The sequence below is a fragment of the Homo sapiens genome, chromosome X (genome assembly GCF_000001405.40).
Source record: "Homo sapiens chromosome X, GRCh38.p14 Primary Assembly".
Taxonomy (NCBI): domain Eukaryota; kingdom Metazoa; phylum Chordata; class Mammalia; order Primates; family Hominidae; genus Homo; species Homo sapiens.
In genome coordinates, this window is record NC_000023.11 from 154,617,062 (window position 1) to 154,632,469 (window position 15,408).

At 50.8% G+C, this 15,408-nt stretch overlaps 1 protein-coding gene and 1 pseudogene across 1 annotated transcript; both read right to left on the reverse strand.

The window, feature by feature from the left end:
• Positions 1–547: 547 nt before the first annotated feature.
• On the reverse strand, positions 548–2,221 carry CTAG1B (cancer/testis antigen 1B). The gene is made up of 3 exons (NM_001327.3): positions 1,889–2,221; positions 1,078–1,212; positions 548–838 (listed from the first exon to the last, which is right to left on the reverse strand). The coding sequence occupies exons 1-3, from the start codon at positions 2,155–2,157 to the stop codon at positions 700–702; spliced, it is 543 nt and encodes a 180-aa protein (NP_001318.1). The 5' UTR covers positions 2,158–2,221; the 3' UTR covers positions 548–699.
• ATF4P1 (activating transcription factor 4 pseudogene 1) lies at positions 5,279–6,719 on the reverse strand (annotated as a pseudogene).

Here is a 15,408-nt window from a genome sequence, read left to right on the forward strand (position 1 = left end):
CACCGCACCCGGCCTTTTAATGATTTTTCTACAGACAGAATCTCGCTACATTGCCCAGGGTGGCCTCCAACTGCAGGTCTCAAGCCATCCTCCCGCTTCAAGCCTCCCACAGCGCTGGAAATACAGGTGTGGGCCACCATGCCCAACCCATATCACATGCTTAACAGTGATATGATAATGCTGGTTCTATGCATCTATTCAAGTACGTTTTCAAAGAATTTTTCCCAAGTAAAAAAGCTCATATGTTCAATGAAAACAATTTGGGAAAAAATTTAATGCTGACCTGGAAAAACATTATATATGCTACTGTCATATATTTAACATATAAATGCAAGTATATTGAGGAAAATATTCTAAAATGTCCACAGTAGTTAATGCTGAATGGCGGGACCCAGTGGCTTTTCATTTTCCCCCATTTCCCAAATTGCCTCCCGTTACCTTGTGCTACTTCAATCTGTGAATCCCAGAGCCTCCCCTGCAACCCGAGGACAAGGGCATGCAAGTCCGAAGGTGCCTTCGCTCGCCGAAAAGAGACTCAGACACGGAATCGTAGCTCAGTTTTATTTTCTACAGAAACAAACATGTAAGCCGTCCTCCTCCAGCGACAAACAATCAGGCCCCCACAATGAACTGGCCACTCGTGCTGGGACCATTCCCTAGGGGAGGAGGCATGACCTAGGAAGGGGCGCCAGGCTGGGCTTAGCGCCTCTGCCCTGAGGGAGGCTGAGCCAAAAACACGGGCAGAAAGCACTGCGTGATCCACATCAACAGGGAAAGCTGCTGGAGACAGGAGCTGATGGAGAGCTGCAGTTGGCGGTGGTCTGCAGCAGTCAGTCGGCTAAATGTGAGGGGCAGAGAACATCACGTTAAAGGCGACACCTCTGCACCCATCTCCCTGGGCTCCCTCGGGTGGCGGCGGGCCTGGTGTACCAGGTCTCTGTTCTGAGACCCTGTGCTGGGGTGTTCCCAGGTTTCTAGCAGCCTGACCGTGGGGTGTAGGCGGATCCCAGCCCCCACCCTGCCACGCTGTGACCGCCACCCACCCAGGCCCCATCCCTGTCCTGGTCCTGAACTGACATAGTCAGTATGTTGCCGGACACAGTGAACTCCTTCAGAAGCACCCCTGGCACGGGAAGCGGTGGGGCATCCTGGGCCAGGCTCCTGCGGGCCAGCTCTGCTTCCATGGGTGTCGCGAAAGGCATGGCGAGGTAGCTGGTGGGGGCCCAGTTAAGGCATCCTCTCCTAGGACTTGGCCTGTGGCTCCGGCCTGCTGCTTACCCCAGGCCAGCTTCCCCCTCCCCCACTCCCCCACCCCTCCCCCCTACCCCGGATTGCCCAGCCCATCCCCCCCAGGCTGTCTCCCCAGGCACTGGCCCAGTAGCACACCCCACCCAGCTGTCTTGGTTCCCCACTTTCCTTTGCTGCACCCCAAGCTGACTCCTCCATGCCCTTACAAGACCCCTCCCCACCCTGCCCCCTGTGGCATCACCCGGCCCCCTCCTCATCACTCGACCCTCCATCCCAACCACCTCCCGCCACCCGCTCCCATCTTGCCCCCTTCCCCCCACCTCCTGATCCCCTCCTACACCTGGGTCCCCCTATCTCCTGGCCCCTGCTCCCCTCCCCGCATGACCCGGTGCCCCTCACCCAATCACCCAGCCCCTCTCCCCCACCCCCACCCCCTCTACCTCCCAGCCCTTACCTCCTCCCCTCCTCGCAGCTGGCCTCTCATATCCCCACCTCCCAACCCCCACCCCCACCCCCACCCAACCACTTACTCGCATCTCCCCCGCCTCCTCCCCCACCTGGCCCTGCCCTCCCCATCTCCCGGCCCCCACCTCGCCACCAGAACTGTCAGAACAGAACAGAACAGAACAGAACAGAATACAACTCAAGCAGGCGGCTCTCCGGCCCCCTGGCCCCGCATCTGCAGCATCCATTCAGCCCTGAAGCCGCGCCGCCATGCGGACCCCGCGGGGCGCCTCCTCCCGGCCCCGAGGCCCTTGCTGCCCCTGCGCCCCGGGGACCTCTGCCGCCCGTGGCACCCGCCTCTCCTGGGCCGCCAGCATTGCCCCCTGGGCCATCAGGAATGCCAGGGCCTCCTGGGCCATCAGCATCGCCCGTCGAACCCCCTGTGCCCCGGCCTTCGGCCTGCATGGCTCCGGAGCCTCTGCCCGGCTCTCAGAGAGAAGGTCAGGGCCCACGAGGATGCGGAGGCAGAGAGGCTGCAGGAAGTTCCGCCCCCTGGCGTGAGATGGGCAGCCCGGGATCCTCAGGGCGCCTGCGCACAGGGGCCCTACTTCCGGCCCTGGGAGACCCCGAGTGAGCCCCGGAGCACGTGACCGGTTCTCACCAACCCCGCCCCTCCCCAAGAGAGCCCGGGCCGGAAGGTGGCCGCAATGCCAGCTTGGACCCCTCACCCCTGAGCAGCCGGCTGTCCGCCGGACCCCTGTCCCGGGAGCCCTGCAGGGAGTCAGGCACTGCGGGGCCCAGCCTGTCCCATCCCCCGGGTCTCCCTCACATCGAGGAGCAAGACGGGCCTGGGAACACGGGGCCGGGACTGTGCGGCCATCGTCCCGGACCCTGCCTGCCCTGTCCGTCCTTGGGGGAGCGCCCAGGACAGACCCCGGGGGGCAGGCCTCTAACTGGGCTCAGCAGCCTCCGTCCCTGTCCTGGTCGCCCAGCTGGTGGGGTAGCTGGAACTGCATGTCTGGTGGGCGTGGCCTCGCGCCAGCCAAGGTCTCCCAGGCGCCAGGTCCAGCCAAGGTGGACGGGAGGGCCCAGCGGGACCCGGGGCCGGATCTCACTCCTGGGTTCAACGGGTTCTGTCCCTGTCCTAGTCGCCCCGCCTGGTGGGGGAGCTGGAGCTGCGTGTGGGGTGGGTTGCGGGTGGCCTCCCACCAGCCAGGGGCTCCCGGGCTCTAGGCCTGGCCCAGGTGGACAGGCGGGACCTGCTGGACCTGAGGCTGGGTCGGGCCTGGCTCCTGGGTTCGGCAGTATCAGTCCCTGCCCTGGTCGCTCTTGCCTGGTAGGGAGCTGGGAGGTGACCCTGTGTCTGCTCAGTGGTGATCTATTTGTGTGTCTGGAAGGGGGTCAAATCCACGGGACAGGTACCTCTAGAGGCATGCAGGGGTGAGGGCGGCACGGCCCCGGGAGCTGAATGTCTGTGCCAGGCACACCTGTAGCAACAGGAGGTGACCAGACAGGGCCTAGCCCTGAGGAAGGGGGAGGTACTGAAATCCAAACCACTCTCCCCCACCTTCCAAATCCAGGAATCAGCAGCCTCTGCACCTGGGAAAAGCATATTGGCACTCATGTGGAAACTAAAAACGTTGATCTTTTGGAGGTAGAGCAGAATGATGGTTACCAGACGCTGGGAAAGGTGGGGAGGGTGGGGAGGTTAATGGGGACAAACATATAGTTGCATAGAAGGATTAAGTTCTAGTGTTTGATAGCACCGTAGAGGGACTATAGGTAATTATTTATTGTATATTTCAAAATAGCTAAAAGATAGGAAATGTTCCCCAAAAAAAGAAATGATAAATGCTTGAGGTGGTGGAGATCCTAAATACCCCGACTTGATCATTACATCGTGTGTGCGTGTGCATGTATCAGAATATCACATGTATCCCATAAATATGCAGAGTTATCATACATCAGTTAAAAATGTTTTTACTTACAGAAAAGAAAAATTCACCCAAGCTCTTGCGTGTACCTCCAGTTTATTATTTTCACTGCTGTATTTCATTACATATATTTCATTAAATGATGAATTTTAAAAACCAGAGAACACAACTTGTTAACACCTGGAATAGCTGAAAATCAGACATAACCCGGTTAGTGATTGCCATCCTTCCTGTCGTCCTCTGCTCAGTCTCCCCATTCTCAGACAGAGGCAGGCTAAAGTTCTTACCTTCAACAGGTCAGGGAAGGGAGAGTAAAGTGCATGTGACCCTGTCTTAGGAAGCAGGAAGACAGAGGGAGGGTCTCCGGGTCCCCATTATTTTCCCGGCCTATTATCCTCAGATCAAGTCAAGAAAGGAAGTCCTAACTGATTGAGAGATTCCTGGAGATACTGCCACTGTCCTGGAAGTCTCAGCCAGCCACTGGACCGGAAATCTCCATCAATATTTCAGCCAGAGCAACGTCTGCCACTAGATGGCATCAAACTCCAGCCGGGAGCAGGACAGATTTGGATGGTCCAGCGGGCTTGCCTCATTCATTTCATTAACCCCACAGTAACACATTTTCACATTGTATGCGATTGGATTTCTTGGAAACTACCTATTACATTACGGCAGAGTTTTATAGTCCTCTAATTTATCCATTCTGCTGATGATGGGCAGGCATTTGGATAGTTTCCAGCCCTTGGCTATGAACATGCTTGTACAGGTCTCTTGAAGCACATGTCCAAGTTTTTTTTTGGAATTGCTGTATCACAGCCAATACATATCTCGAAATTTACTAGATAATGCCATGTTTTCCCAAGTGGTTTGAGCCAATTTTCGCTTCCACCATAATGTGTCAGCGTACATACACATAGCTCAACATTCTCATCAATATTGACGGTACTAATCCGTTCTCGCATTGCTATAAAGGACTACCTAAGACTGAGTAATTTATAAAGAAAAGAGGTTTAATTGACTCACAGTTCTGCAGGCTCTACAGGAAGCATGGCTGGGGAGGCCTCAGGAAAGTTACAATCATAGCGGAAGGCAAAGAGGAAGGAGGCACATCTTATATGGCCAGAGAAGGAGAAAGAGAAAGTGAAGGGGGAGGTGCTATACACTTTTAAACAACCACATCTTGTGAGAGCTCAACATCACGAGAATAGCAAGGGGGAAATCGACCCCCATGATCCAATCGCCTCCCACCAGTCCCCTCCTCCAACACTAGGGATTACAATTCAACATGAGATTTGGGTGGGGACACAAATCCAAATCATATCATTCCACCCCTGCCCCCTCCCAAATCTCATGTACTTCTCACATTGCAAAATACAATAATCTCCTCTCAACAGTCCCCCAAGTCTTAACCCATTTCAGCATTAACTCAAAAATCCACAGTCCAAAGTCTCAACTGAGACAAGGCAAGTCCCTTCTGCCTATGAGCCTGTAAAATCTAAAACAAGTTAGCTACTTCCAAGATAAAATTGAGGTACAGGCATTGGGTAAATACTCCCTTTCCAAAAGGGGGACATCGGCCAAAACAAAGGGGCTACAGGCCCCATGCAAGTCCAAAACCCAACAGGACAGTCATTAATTCTTTTTTTTTTTTTTTTCCACTACAAAATAATTTATTCGAACACACAGCTACAGCGCGAGACTCCTATGTACAAGCACATTGACGCTCCTGACTACCCTCAACTAGAGGACCCTTTTCTTCCCCCTTGCCTTGCAGACCTCTTCTATCGAATCTTTCATGTACTGGATCTCCTCGGCCAGGGAATCCGCCCTCTCTTGCAGAGCCTCGTTCTTCTTTTCCACCGCTTTGCACTCACCAGTGAGGACCTCCTGCTCCACCCTCTTCTTCTGGCGATACCTAGTTCCTGCTGTTTGGTTTTGCTCCATTTTTTTTTCAGCTTCTTATCCAGTTTCTCACCCTTTACTTGTGCTGCTACCATCTTCTCTCCAGGAGGGTCATAAGGTTTGGGGCAGGCAGAGCCACAGAGGACACCTGGAGATGGCGGGCTCCTACTCGGAGAGCCCCTGGAGGTAGAGGGAGAGCCCAGATAGGACTCTGGGCTCATACAGATGCCACTATCATTATCTGAGGGGGCGTCTTCCTCCTTTGTGCAGTGAGGGATCTTGGAAATGTAAGCAGTGGAGTCTGGCTTCCTAGCTCCTTCAAAGATATCCACTTCACTGCCCAGCTCTAGACTAAAGGAATAATCTGGAGTGGAGGACTGGACCCCTGGGGAAAGGGGAAGAGGTTGCAAGAAGGTGAAGGGGGCAACCTGGTCGGGTTAAACTTTCTGGGAGATGGCAAATCGGGTTCACCATCTGGGGGGGGCTCCTTAATAGTCTCCTGGACTGGGGGGGCTCCTTAATAGTCTCCTGGACTAGGGGGGCAAAGAGATCACACGAGTCATCCAACGTGGCCAGAAGCTCGTCTGGCATGGTTTCCAGGTCATCTATACCCAACAGGGCATCAAAGTCGAACTCCTTCAGATCAGTTTTCTCCAACATCCAATCTGTCCCAAAGAAAGCATCCTCCTTGCCATCGTTGGAGGCACTGACCAACCCATCCACAGCCAGCCACTCGGAGGAGTCTGCCTTAGCCTTGTCGCTGGAGAACCCATGAGGTTTGAAGTGCTTGGCCACCTCCAGGTAGTCATCTAAGAGACCTAGGCTTTCTTCAGTCCCCAAACCTGACTGGTCAAGGGGGGACATCAAGCCCCCACCAACACCTCGCTGCTCAGGAAGCTCATCTCGGTCATGGTGCAGTGCTTTGCTGGAATCAACGAATGTGCTTAATTCGAAGGTGTCTTTGTCGGTTACAGCAATGCTGCTGCTGAATGCTGTGAGAAGTGCTACGGCTTAAGCCGCCGGTGGATGCCACTGCAGAGCCTGGTGCTGCTGCCACCGCTGCAAAGGCCAAGGCTGCCACAGGCACTGCTGCCCCTAAAACGCCATGGAGGCCATGGACCCTGCAGGCGGGGAGGAGGGAAGGTGCGCACGTGCGGAGGAAACTACATCTGTGGGCGGGCGGAGCAGAAAATCGTCATTAATTCTTAAAGCTCCAAAATAATCTCCTTTGGCTCCATGTCTTACATCCAGGCCACACTGAGGCAAGGGGTGGGCTCCTGAGGCCTTGGGCAGCTCCGCTCCTGTGGCTCTGCAGGGTACAGCCCCCTCGGCTGCTTTCCTGGGCTGGTATTGAATGTCTGCAGCTTTTCCAGGAGTATAATGCGAGTTGTCAGTGGATCTATGATTCGGGGGTCTTGAGGATGGTGGCCCCCTTCTCACAGCTCCACTAGGCAGTGCCCCAGTGGGGACTCCAACCCCAGATTTCCCTTCTGCACTACGCTAGTAGAGGTTCCCCAGGAGGGCTCCGCCCCTGCAGCAGACTTCTGCCTGGACATTCAGGCGTTTCCATACATCCTCTGAATCTAGGCAGAGGTTCCCAAGCCTCAACTTTTGCCCTCTGCATACCCGCAGGCTTAACACCACATGGAAGCCACCAAGGCTTACAGCTTGCACCCTCCAGAGCAGCAGCCGGAGGCGTATCTGGGGCCCTTGTAGCCATGGCTGGAGCTGGAGCAGCTGGGGCGCAGATAGCAGTGTCCCGAGGGTGCTCAGGCCAGCAGGGCTCTGGGCTGGGTCCAAAAAACCATTCTTCCCTCTTCAGCCTCCAGGCCTGTGAATGACCCTCAAAAAATTAAAAATAGAACTACCATATGATCCAGCTCTCCCACTTCTGGGTATAGATCTGAAGGAAATGAAATCTATTTCTTCCTGAGTCAGTTTTCATGGTTTGTACATTTCTAGGAATTTGTCCACTTCATCTAGGTTATCTAATTTGTTGGCAAACAATTGTTCACAATCTTCTCATGTAATCCTTTTTGGGGGTAGAAGAATTCAGTAACAATCAACAAAATGAAAAGGCAACCTGCAGAATATTGAGGAATAACATATTGTTCACATCTTATCAATATAATAAAATATGTGCATTTTGTGGGGGCAATAATAAATACTCTCAGTTTTTTCCTCATCAGCTATAACAGGGTTGGAGTCTACAGTGATATCTTCTCAAGTCTCCAGCATCTGTGTCGCACTCAGGTAGCACCACACAGTCCCGAGTGAGCCCCTAACAGATACTCATCTCCCTTGGGACAGAAGCAGCACATAGACTTCCATCTCTGGTCATTAGGTCCCACGGCCTAGGGACCATGTCTCAAAATTAGCTTCGATGCCATAACATATTTGATCAGAATATAGGTAATGTGATAAGCTGAAATATAAGCATTCCAACTGAACTTCAGGCATAGCAATGGCAAATTGGAAAGAGATGCAAAGAGATTTCAAGGACCTTGGAAATTCACGATGTCATTTAAGAAGAAAACACACGTCACTCCATTCCAGTAAAGAATCACAGACTCGGCCATGCATGTTGGCTCATGCCTGTAGTCCCAGTACTTTGGGAGATCCAGGTGGGAGGATCGCTTGAGCCCAGGAGTTCAAGAATCACAGACTCTTCCAGCTCCCAGTCCGGTGCTCTTAACCACTACGTGCTGCCAGTCATCAATATTCTCCCATATTTCCTTTAATGAAATAGGATCATTAAAGCTTAGGGGGAAACATTTGACAGGAAAAGATTTCACGTATTTTTCTAGATTTTCATTTCTTCTTTTTGTTGTTGTTTTTTTTGGAGACAAGGTCTCACTCTGTCACCCAGGTCAGAGTGCAGCGGTGCAATCACAGCTCACTGCAGCCTCGACTTCCCATGCTCAATCCATCTTCCCACCTCAGCCTCCTAAGTAGCTGGGACTACAGGTGCACACCTCCACGCCCGACTCATTTTTTAAAATTGTTTGTAGAGATGGCGTCTGACTATGTTGCCCGGGCTGGTCTCAAACTCCTGGACACAAGCAGTCCTCCCGCCTCAGCTTCCCAAAGTGTAGGGATTACAGGCGTGAGCCACACTGCACCAGGCCGCCTTCATTTCCTCTTTTATATAGACTCCAGTTGAATTTTTAAAAAGTAGTTGGTCGCCCGGAGGCAGAGACTGTCTTACAGTTTTTCTGTTTCCCAGAGTGCCTTGCTAAATACCCAATTGTTGACCTAATCTTTAAACTCAGAAGTACAAATTTACTGCACTGTAAAGACATAGACTCAACAGGTACAAAATCTTTGGTCTTTCAATCAACATAGGTCATGGAAACATCACTTCATTCCTAAATGCCAACGTAATGAATACAAGAGAATTGGTTTGAAACAAACATTTTGATCAGTGTTCACTTAAATTCCCAGGGGATTCCCACCTTACTCCACTCCCTCGGCTCAGCACACGTATTATAAGCCACACTAGTCCGCATCTGGTGTTACAACTTTCTGTCCAATTTCAGAACACCCTCCTTTCACCAATTCATGACCTGCAACCCTTCCACCGCCATTTCCACAAGCAAACTTCAGGTCTTTTTCAAGGTGAAGTGCCGTACTTGCTGCAGCACTTAGGTATTTTTTAACCATTTAACATGCATAGAATTGTGCTACCATTTTCATTAGGTTCCTATCTTCGTTTTTTTATGTGTCACTGACAAAGGTTTTGAGTATTGTGTCCCTAACCCCATTTTTCCTATAAGTTTTGCGATTTGTACTACACAATGATTTTGAGGTGTACACGTATGTCATGCTATAATCATAACTCATTGTATCACGGTTTGGGGAAAAAATTAACCAATAACCAATTTATTTTTTCAAAGATAACAGGTGTGCAAGCTTCCAGCAAATCTGCTTAAGCATAAGATCAAATCAGAGAACAGCTGTTTTTCCTCCAATGTTGATCCAGTGGCTAGCTAGCCCTCAAATCAGACACTAGATTTGGAACTGGGAGGACATCATTCACCTTGAAGTAGTGAACAAAAACATGGTTTTGTCAAAAAATAAAAGGGATAAAAGTCATTATAAAAACTGTCTTTCCCACCAGGCATGGTGGCTCATGCCTGTGGTCCCAGCTACTCGGGAGGCTGAGGTGGGAGGATCACTTGAGCCCAGGAGGTCGAGGCTCCAGTGAGCTGTGATTGCACTACTGCACTCCTGCCAGCCTGGGCGACAGAGCGAGACCTTGACTCTAAAAAAAGGGAAATTATCTTTTCCATCCTCAGAGCAAGCATGCAGAATATTATTGTCATCCTATTCATAGACGTGGAAGCTAAAACTAAGAGAGGCTGAGTGACTGGCCCAAAGTACCATGGCTGATAGGGGTTGTAATGAACTCAAGTGGTCTTTGTCTAGGATCAGAAATACCACCATCATATGTAATGGTGCTTGTAACTGTGACGTGTTATTTCCAATTGTCTGCAAAACACAAACATGAATAAATGAGATGAGTTGTTGGGGAAAAGTAAGAAAAAGGTGACACTGTTAAGGTTACCCATCTCTCCACGTACCTCGTAACATCAGACCCTGATTGGGGCAGAAAACCCTGGCCTGTACCACGATAAATGCCTCCTGTGCAATAATAGGATGTTCAACAGCTCTTCGGTACCAACGATGAACAAATTTTTTGCAAAAGAATATTATTGCTGCAATTGGCCGGGCATGGTGGCTTATGCCTGTAATCCCAACACTCTGGGAGACCGAGCTGGGCAGATTGCTTGAGCCCAAGAGTTTGAGAGCAGCCTGGGCAACATGGCTGTACCCACTCTCTACAAAAAATTGTAAAATTTGCCAGGCGCGGTGGCGCACGCCTGTGGTCCCAGCTACTCTGGAGGCTGACGTGGGAAGATGGCATTGAGCCCAGGAAGTCAAGGCTGCAATAAGCCATGTTCATGCCACTGCACTCCAGCTTGGGTGACAAAGTGAGACCTGGTCTCTCTCTATATATCTGTCTATCTATATCTATATCTATATCTATCTATCATCTATATCTATATCTATAGCTTAGCTATATCTGCAACAGTGAATAGAAACCCCTTTAGCAAAGTGTTCCCAAACTCTTGCTTCTAATTCTTGACCAACTCAGAAGTAAAGGAGGAGAATGAAGTAAAGGAAGTCATACGTTTCCGTGCTCTCATGCATATTTTTATTTCTGTAAGGTCAGTAGTAATGTGGCTACTTTCATTTCTGATTTTAGTCCTCGCTCTCTCTGTCTTAGTCCAGCTAAATGTGTCTCCGTTGCTCTTTAAGCACTTCCTTATTTTTCTGGGACAACAAGATGATCCAGTTAATCTTGGACTTTCTCTGCCCTAGCCCTGGAATCAGTCATTTCTCTAGTGAGCTCTGTTCTTTTTAATCAAGACGGTTGTTTAGAAATCGAGACCCAGGCACTAAGTCAACTCACTGCTATTGAGATGGTCCCAGGCCTTCTAAGTGATGGAGCTGAGAAATACCCATACACACAGCCCTATTTTACAGCTATGCTTATTTCTATACCTATCTGTATATTGAAAGCCATCAGTGTATCAGGCCACTCTTGCACCGCTATAAAGAAATACCTGAGACTGGGTAATTTATACAGAAAAGAGGTTTAATGGGCTCTTGGTTCTGCAGGCTCTGCAGGACGCCTAGTGCTGGCATCTGCCCAGCTTCTAGAGAGGCCTCGGGAAGCTTCTACTTGTGGTGGGAGGCAAAGCAAGAGCTTGTGTATCTCATGGCGAAAGCAGGAGCAAGCGAGAGAGAGAGAGAGAGAGAGAGAGAGAGAGAGAGTGTGTGTGTCGGGGCGGGGGGAATGCCACCCACTTTAAAATGACAAGATCTCTCGAGAACTCACTATCACGAAGACAGCACCAAGCCATTCATGAGGGATCCACCCCCATGACCCAAACACCCCCTACCAGGCCCCACCTCCAGCCCTGGGGATTACAAGTTAACATCAGATGTGGGTGGGGACAAACATCCAAACTAGATCAATGAATTCACACCAACAACTCCAAATCGAATCCACATTCAAGCCTTCTCTCTTTTCATATCTGCAACTCCTTTTCCAAACGGTGAGAAAGCCAGGTCCCTACATCATTCATATATTTACTGCAAAGCCAGTCAACCATCTGAGCCCATCAGGTCACCACCCAACTTGGCACACGTTCCTCTCTTGGACCCCTGACCCCTCCCCAGGACACAGTCACCCTCGCCGACTCCCTTCCTTACTCCACAAAACTTCCTTGTGCAGGACACTGCTGCGCTCAGCGGAGGATCGTGCTTCACACTGGTCCCCAGCTGCCCTCCACGCTTTCCTTGAGTGGGCCCCCAATCCCAGGGGCTTTTGGAAGAAGAGGGGGAGAAGGACAGGACCGAGGAAGAGAGGCAGGAAGGAAGACCAGCAGAGCAGCCGGCAGGAAGGGCCATTATTCCTTCTGATGCTCCATTCGTAGCCAATGGCAACTCAAATTGGTTGGCAGCAGTGTCCTCCTGACAAACGCTGTGGTCATGTCTCAGATTTACCTCCAGAGGGAGCACTTCAGTCCATAGTCTTGGTGCCAGCTGCAATGGCATTAGCATTGCTTTGAAGGCTTTTCAGGGGACAGAGAAAGCAAATGGGTATTTTTTAGAAAGAGAAAAATAAATTGAGTTCATCACGCCTGTAATCCCAGCACTTTGGCAGGCCAAGGTGGGAGGATGGCTTGAGCCCAGGAGTTCGAGAGCAGCCTGGACAACATAGCGAAACCCCATCTCCACGAAAAAATAAAAAATTAGCCGGGCGTGATGGCACGCGCCTGTAGTCCCGGCTACTCGGGAGGCTGAGGCGGGAGGATCGCTTGAGCCCGGGAGGTTGAGGCTGCAATGAGCTGTGATCGTGCCACTACACTCCAGCCTGGGTGACAGAGTGAGACCCTGTCTCAAATAAATAAACAAACAAACAAAGAAATAAAAAGTTAGACAGCTTTTACTTTTTGGATATATATATTCCCTATTCCCTGTGGATATTCACAAGCCTTTTTTTTTTTTTTTAAGTTTTTAAAGTTCAGTTGTTCTGTCATCTGTGTGGTGCTCCAGCATCTGTTTTGAGTCTCTCTCTGTCACCCAGGCTGGAGTGCAATGGTGCCATCTCGGCTCACTGCAACCTCCACCTCCCAGGTTCAAGTGATTCTCCTGCCTCAGCCTCCCGAGTAGCTGGGAGTACAGGCGCCCACTACCACGCCCGGCTAATTTTTGTATTTTTAGTAGAGACGGGGTTTCACCATATTGGCCAGGCTGGTCTAGAACTCCTGACCTTGTGATCTGCCCACCTCGGCCTCCCAAAGTGCTGGGATTACAGGTGTGAGTCACTGCACCCAGCCTCCAGCATCTGAACTCTTAGTCTCATGGTCTCTTTCCTGCCCTGGGTGTGCTTAGTTTTTATGTGCACTGCTCAGTGTCATTAAGAACTTTTTTCCCCCAGTGCTCCTAAAGTTGTTATATTAATACATCGCTCTTTTTATTTTAAGAGCTCAGGTGTACATGTGCAGGTTTGTTATATGAGTAAACTTGTGTCATGGGGGTTTGCTGTACAGATTATTTTATCACCTAGGTATTAAGCCTAGCACCCATGAGCTATTTTTCCTCATACTCTCCCTCCTCCCAACCTCCGCCCTGCAAAAGGCCCCAGTGTGTTTCATTCCCCTCTATGTATCCGTGTGTTCTCATCATTTAGCTCCCACTTATAAGTGAGAACATGTGGTATTTGGTTGTCTGTTCCTGCGTCAGTTTGCTAAGGATAATGGCCTCCAGCTCCATCCACGCTCCTGCAAAGGACATGCTCTCACTCAGGAACTTTTGTGGAGACTGCATCTCAACCCCAGGCTCCCACGAATCCACACATCCGTTGGGGTAACCGTTGTGGGTTGAATTGTGTCCCCCAAAAAGGTATGTTCAAGTCCTAACACCTGGGTGCCTGGGAATGTGACCTGATTTGGAAATAGGGTCTTTGCCGATGTAATCAAGTTAAGGTCATACTAGATTGGGGTGGGCGCTAATCAAATGTGACTAGTGTCCTCATAAGAGAGAGAGGCAGACACACTGGGAAGATGACCCCACGAAGAAGGAGGCAGAGATTGGAGCGGTGTCTCTATGAGACAGAGAGTGCCAGGGATTGCCAGAAACCACCTGGAGCTACGAGAGAGGCATGGAACAGATTCTCCCACAGAGCCTCCAGTAGGAACCAACCCTGCTGACAGCTGGATTCCAGACTTGTAGCTTCCAGAACCACGGGAGAATCCGTTTCTGTTGTTTTCGGCCACCCAGTTTGTGGCCATTTCTTACGGCAGCCCTAGAAAACTAATATGGGTACTGTCGGCCCAGGACCACCTCAGACCAAATTTAGGACTCGAGGGCCACTGAACGGCCCCACCAGGAAAACCTAGACTGCAAGTCTGCACAGAACCTGGCCCTTGGCCACAACTTTGCACAGGGGTGTTTTCCCTTTCCTTTCATCTCCTGCTTCCCCGCAATCTGCAGAGCTGGGGTGGGGTTTCCTTAATGTAGCGGGGGCTGCTATACAACTCCCCACACTTCACAAAGGCTTTGGGCCTTGCCTGCTGTCTCCCTTGCCTGGACGGCCTCCAGAACCAAAACCCAAGTTTGCCCAGGTCGGCCAGCGTCCTCGGGAAATAAGCAGCTTCAGTGGCGTACTTCTTCTTGGATTCCCACTTCCTCTCAGGTTTTGCTCTCTTGTTGGTTCTCAGCTGTTTTGAACAGTCTCAAACTGTTTCATCTATCATTTGCAGTTATTTTCAGCAGAAATATCTGTCTCAATAATACCACCCAGCATCACCAGAAACAGATGGCAGGTCTTGCAGTGCTTTCGGGGATGGACAGACAGACCACCCTGACCACCGCCCGCTAGGTGCGGGAGAAGACTTATTTCCAGCTATAGCACACATTTGTCGACTTTGGCTCTCCTAGACTGAGAAAGCAAATCTCACCCCTTCCCCTCAGGCCTGCGACACTCGGAACCAACGCGACCGATGGAATCCCTGGATCTCCCCGCTTCCTGTGACCGCTGAGTTCTGTTCCTCCAAGGGTACAATGACATCCATCAGCTGCCTGCCCCCTGCTGACACACTTTCTGTTTGAGGGTTTCCCTCTCAATGACTATAGAGAAAGCAACCTGGGCCGGGTAGAAGAGCAGCTGCTAGTCTCCTGGTTGGTACCAACCCTGGGTCTCTGAGGAAAGGACAGAGTAGGGTCACTCTGCTTCACAACACAAAGTCGCCCATTCTCCCTGCCAGTTCTCAAGCCTGTAATCCCAGCATTTGGGGAGGCCCAGGTGGGAGGATCACTTGATTTCCAGGAGTTCGAGTCCAGCCTGGGCAACACAGTGAGACCCTGTCTCTACTGTTAAAAAACGTAAGGAAGGAAGGAAGGAAGGAAGGAAGGAAGGGAGGGAGGGAGGGAGGGAGGGAGGGAGGGAGGAAGGGAGGAAAGGAAGGAATAAGGAAAAAAGGAAGGAGGGAAGGAAGGAAGGGAGGAAGGAACGAAGAAAGGAATAAGGAAGAGGGAAAGAAGGAAGGAAGGAATAAGGAAGAGGGAAAGAAGGAAGGAAGGAATAAGGAAGAGGGAAAGAAGGAAGGAAGGAATAAGGAAGAGGGAGTGAAGTAAGGAAGGAAGGAATAAGGAAGAGGAAGGAAGGAAGGAAGGATGAAAAAAAGGTCACCTGTCAAACATAGCTTTAGGAGAGGATGTAAATGTTCAATGTTGGTCTTCTTCTGTGTCTTCATTTGCATTTTCATGGGAGCTTACAGGAGGCGCCCAGGTGTCTTAGACAACA

Excerpts from the sequence above, each read along its gene's own strand:
- CTAG1B (NM_001327.3), bottom strand. The coding sequence starts at position 2,157 with ATGCAGGCCGAAGGCCGGGGCACAGGGGGTTCGACGGGCGATGCTGAT. Across the intron at positions 1,213-1,888 it reads GAGAGCCGCCTGCTTGAGTT|CTACCTCGCCATGCCTTTCG; the intron begins GTATTCTGTTCT and ends GGCCCCCACCAG. Across the intron at positions 839-1,077 it reads TCCGGCAACATACTGACTAT|CCGACTGACTGCTGCAGACC; the intron begins GTCAGTTCAGGA and ends CCTCACATTTAG.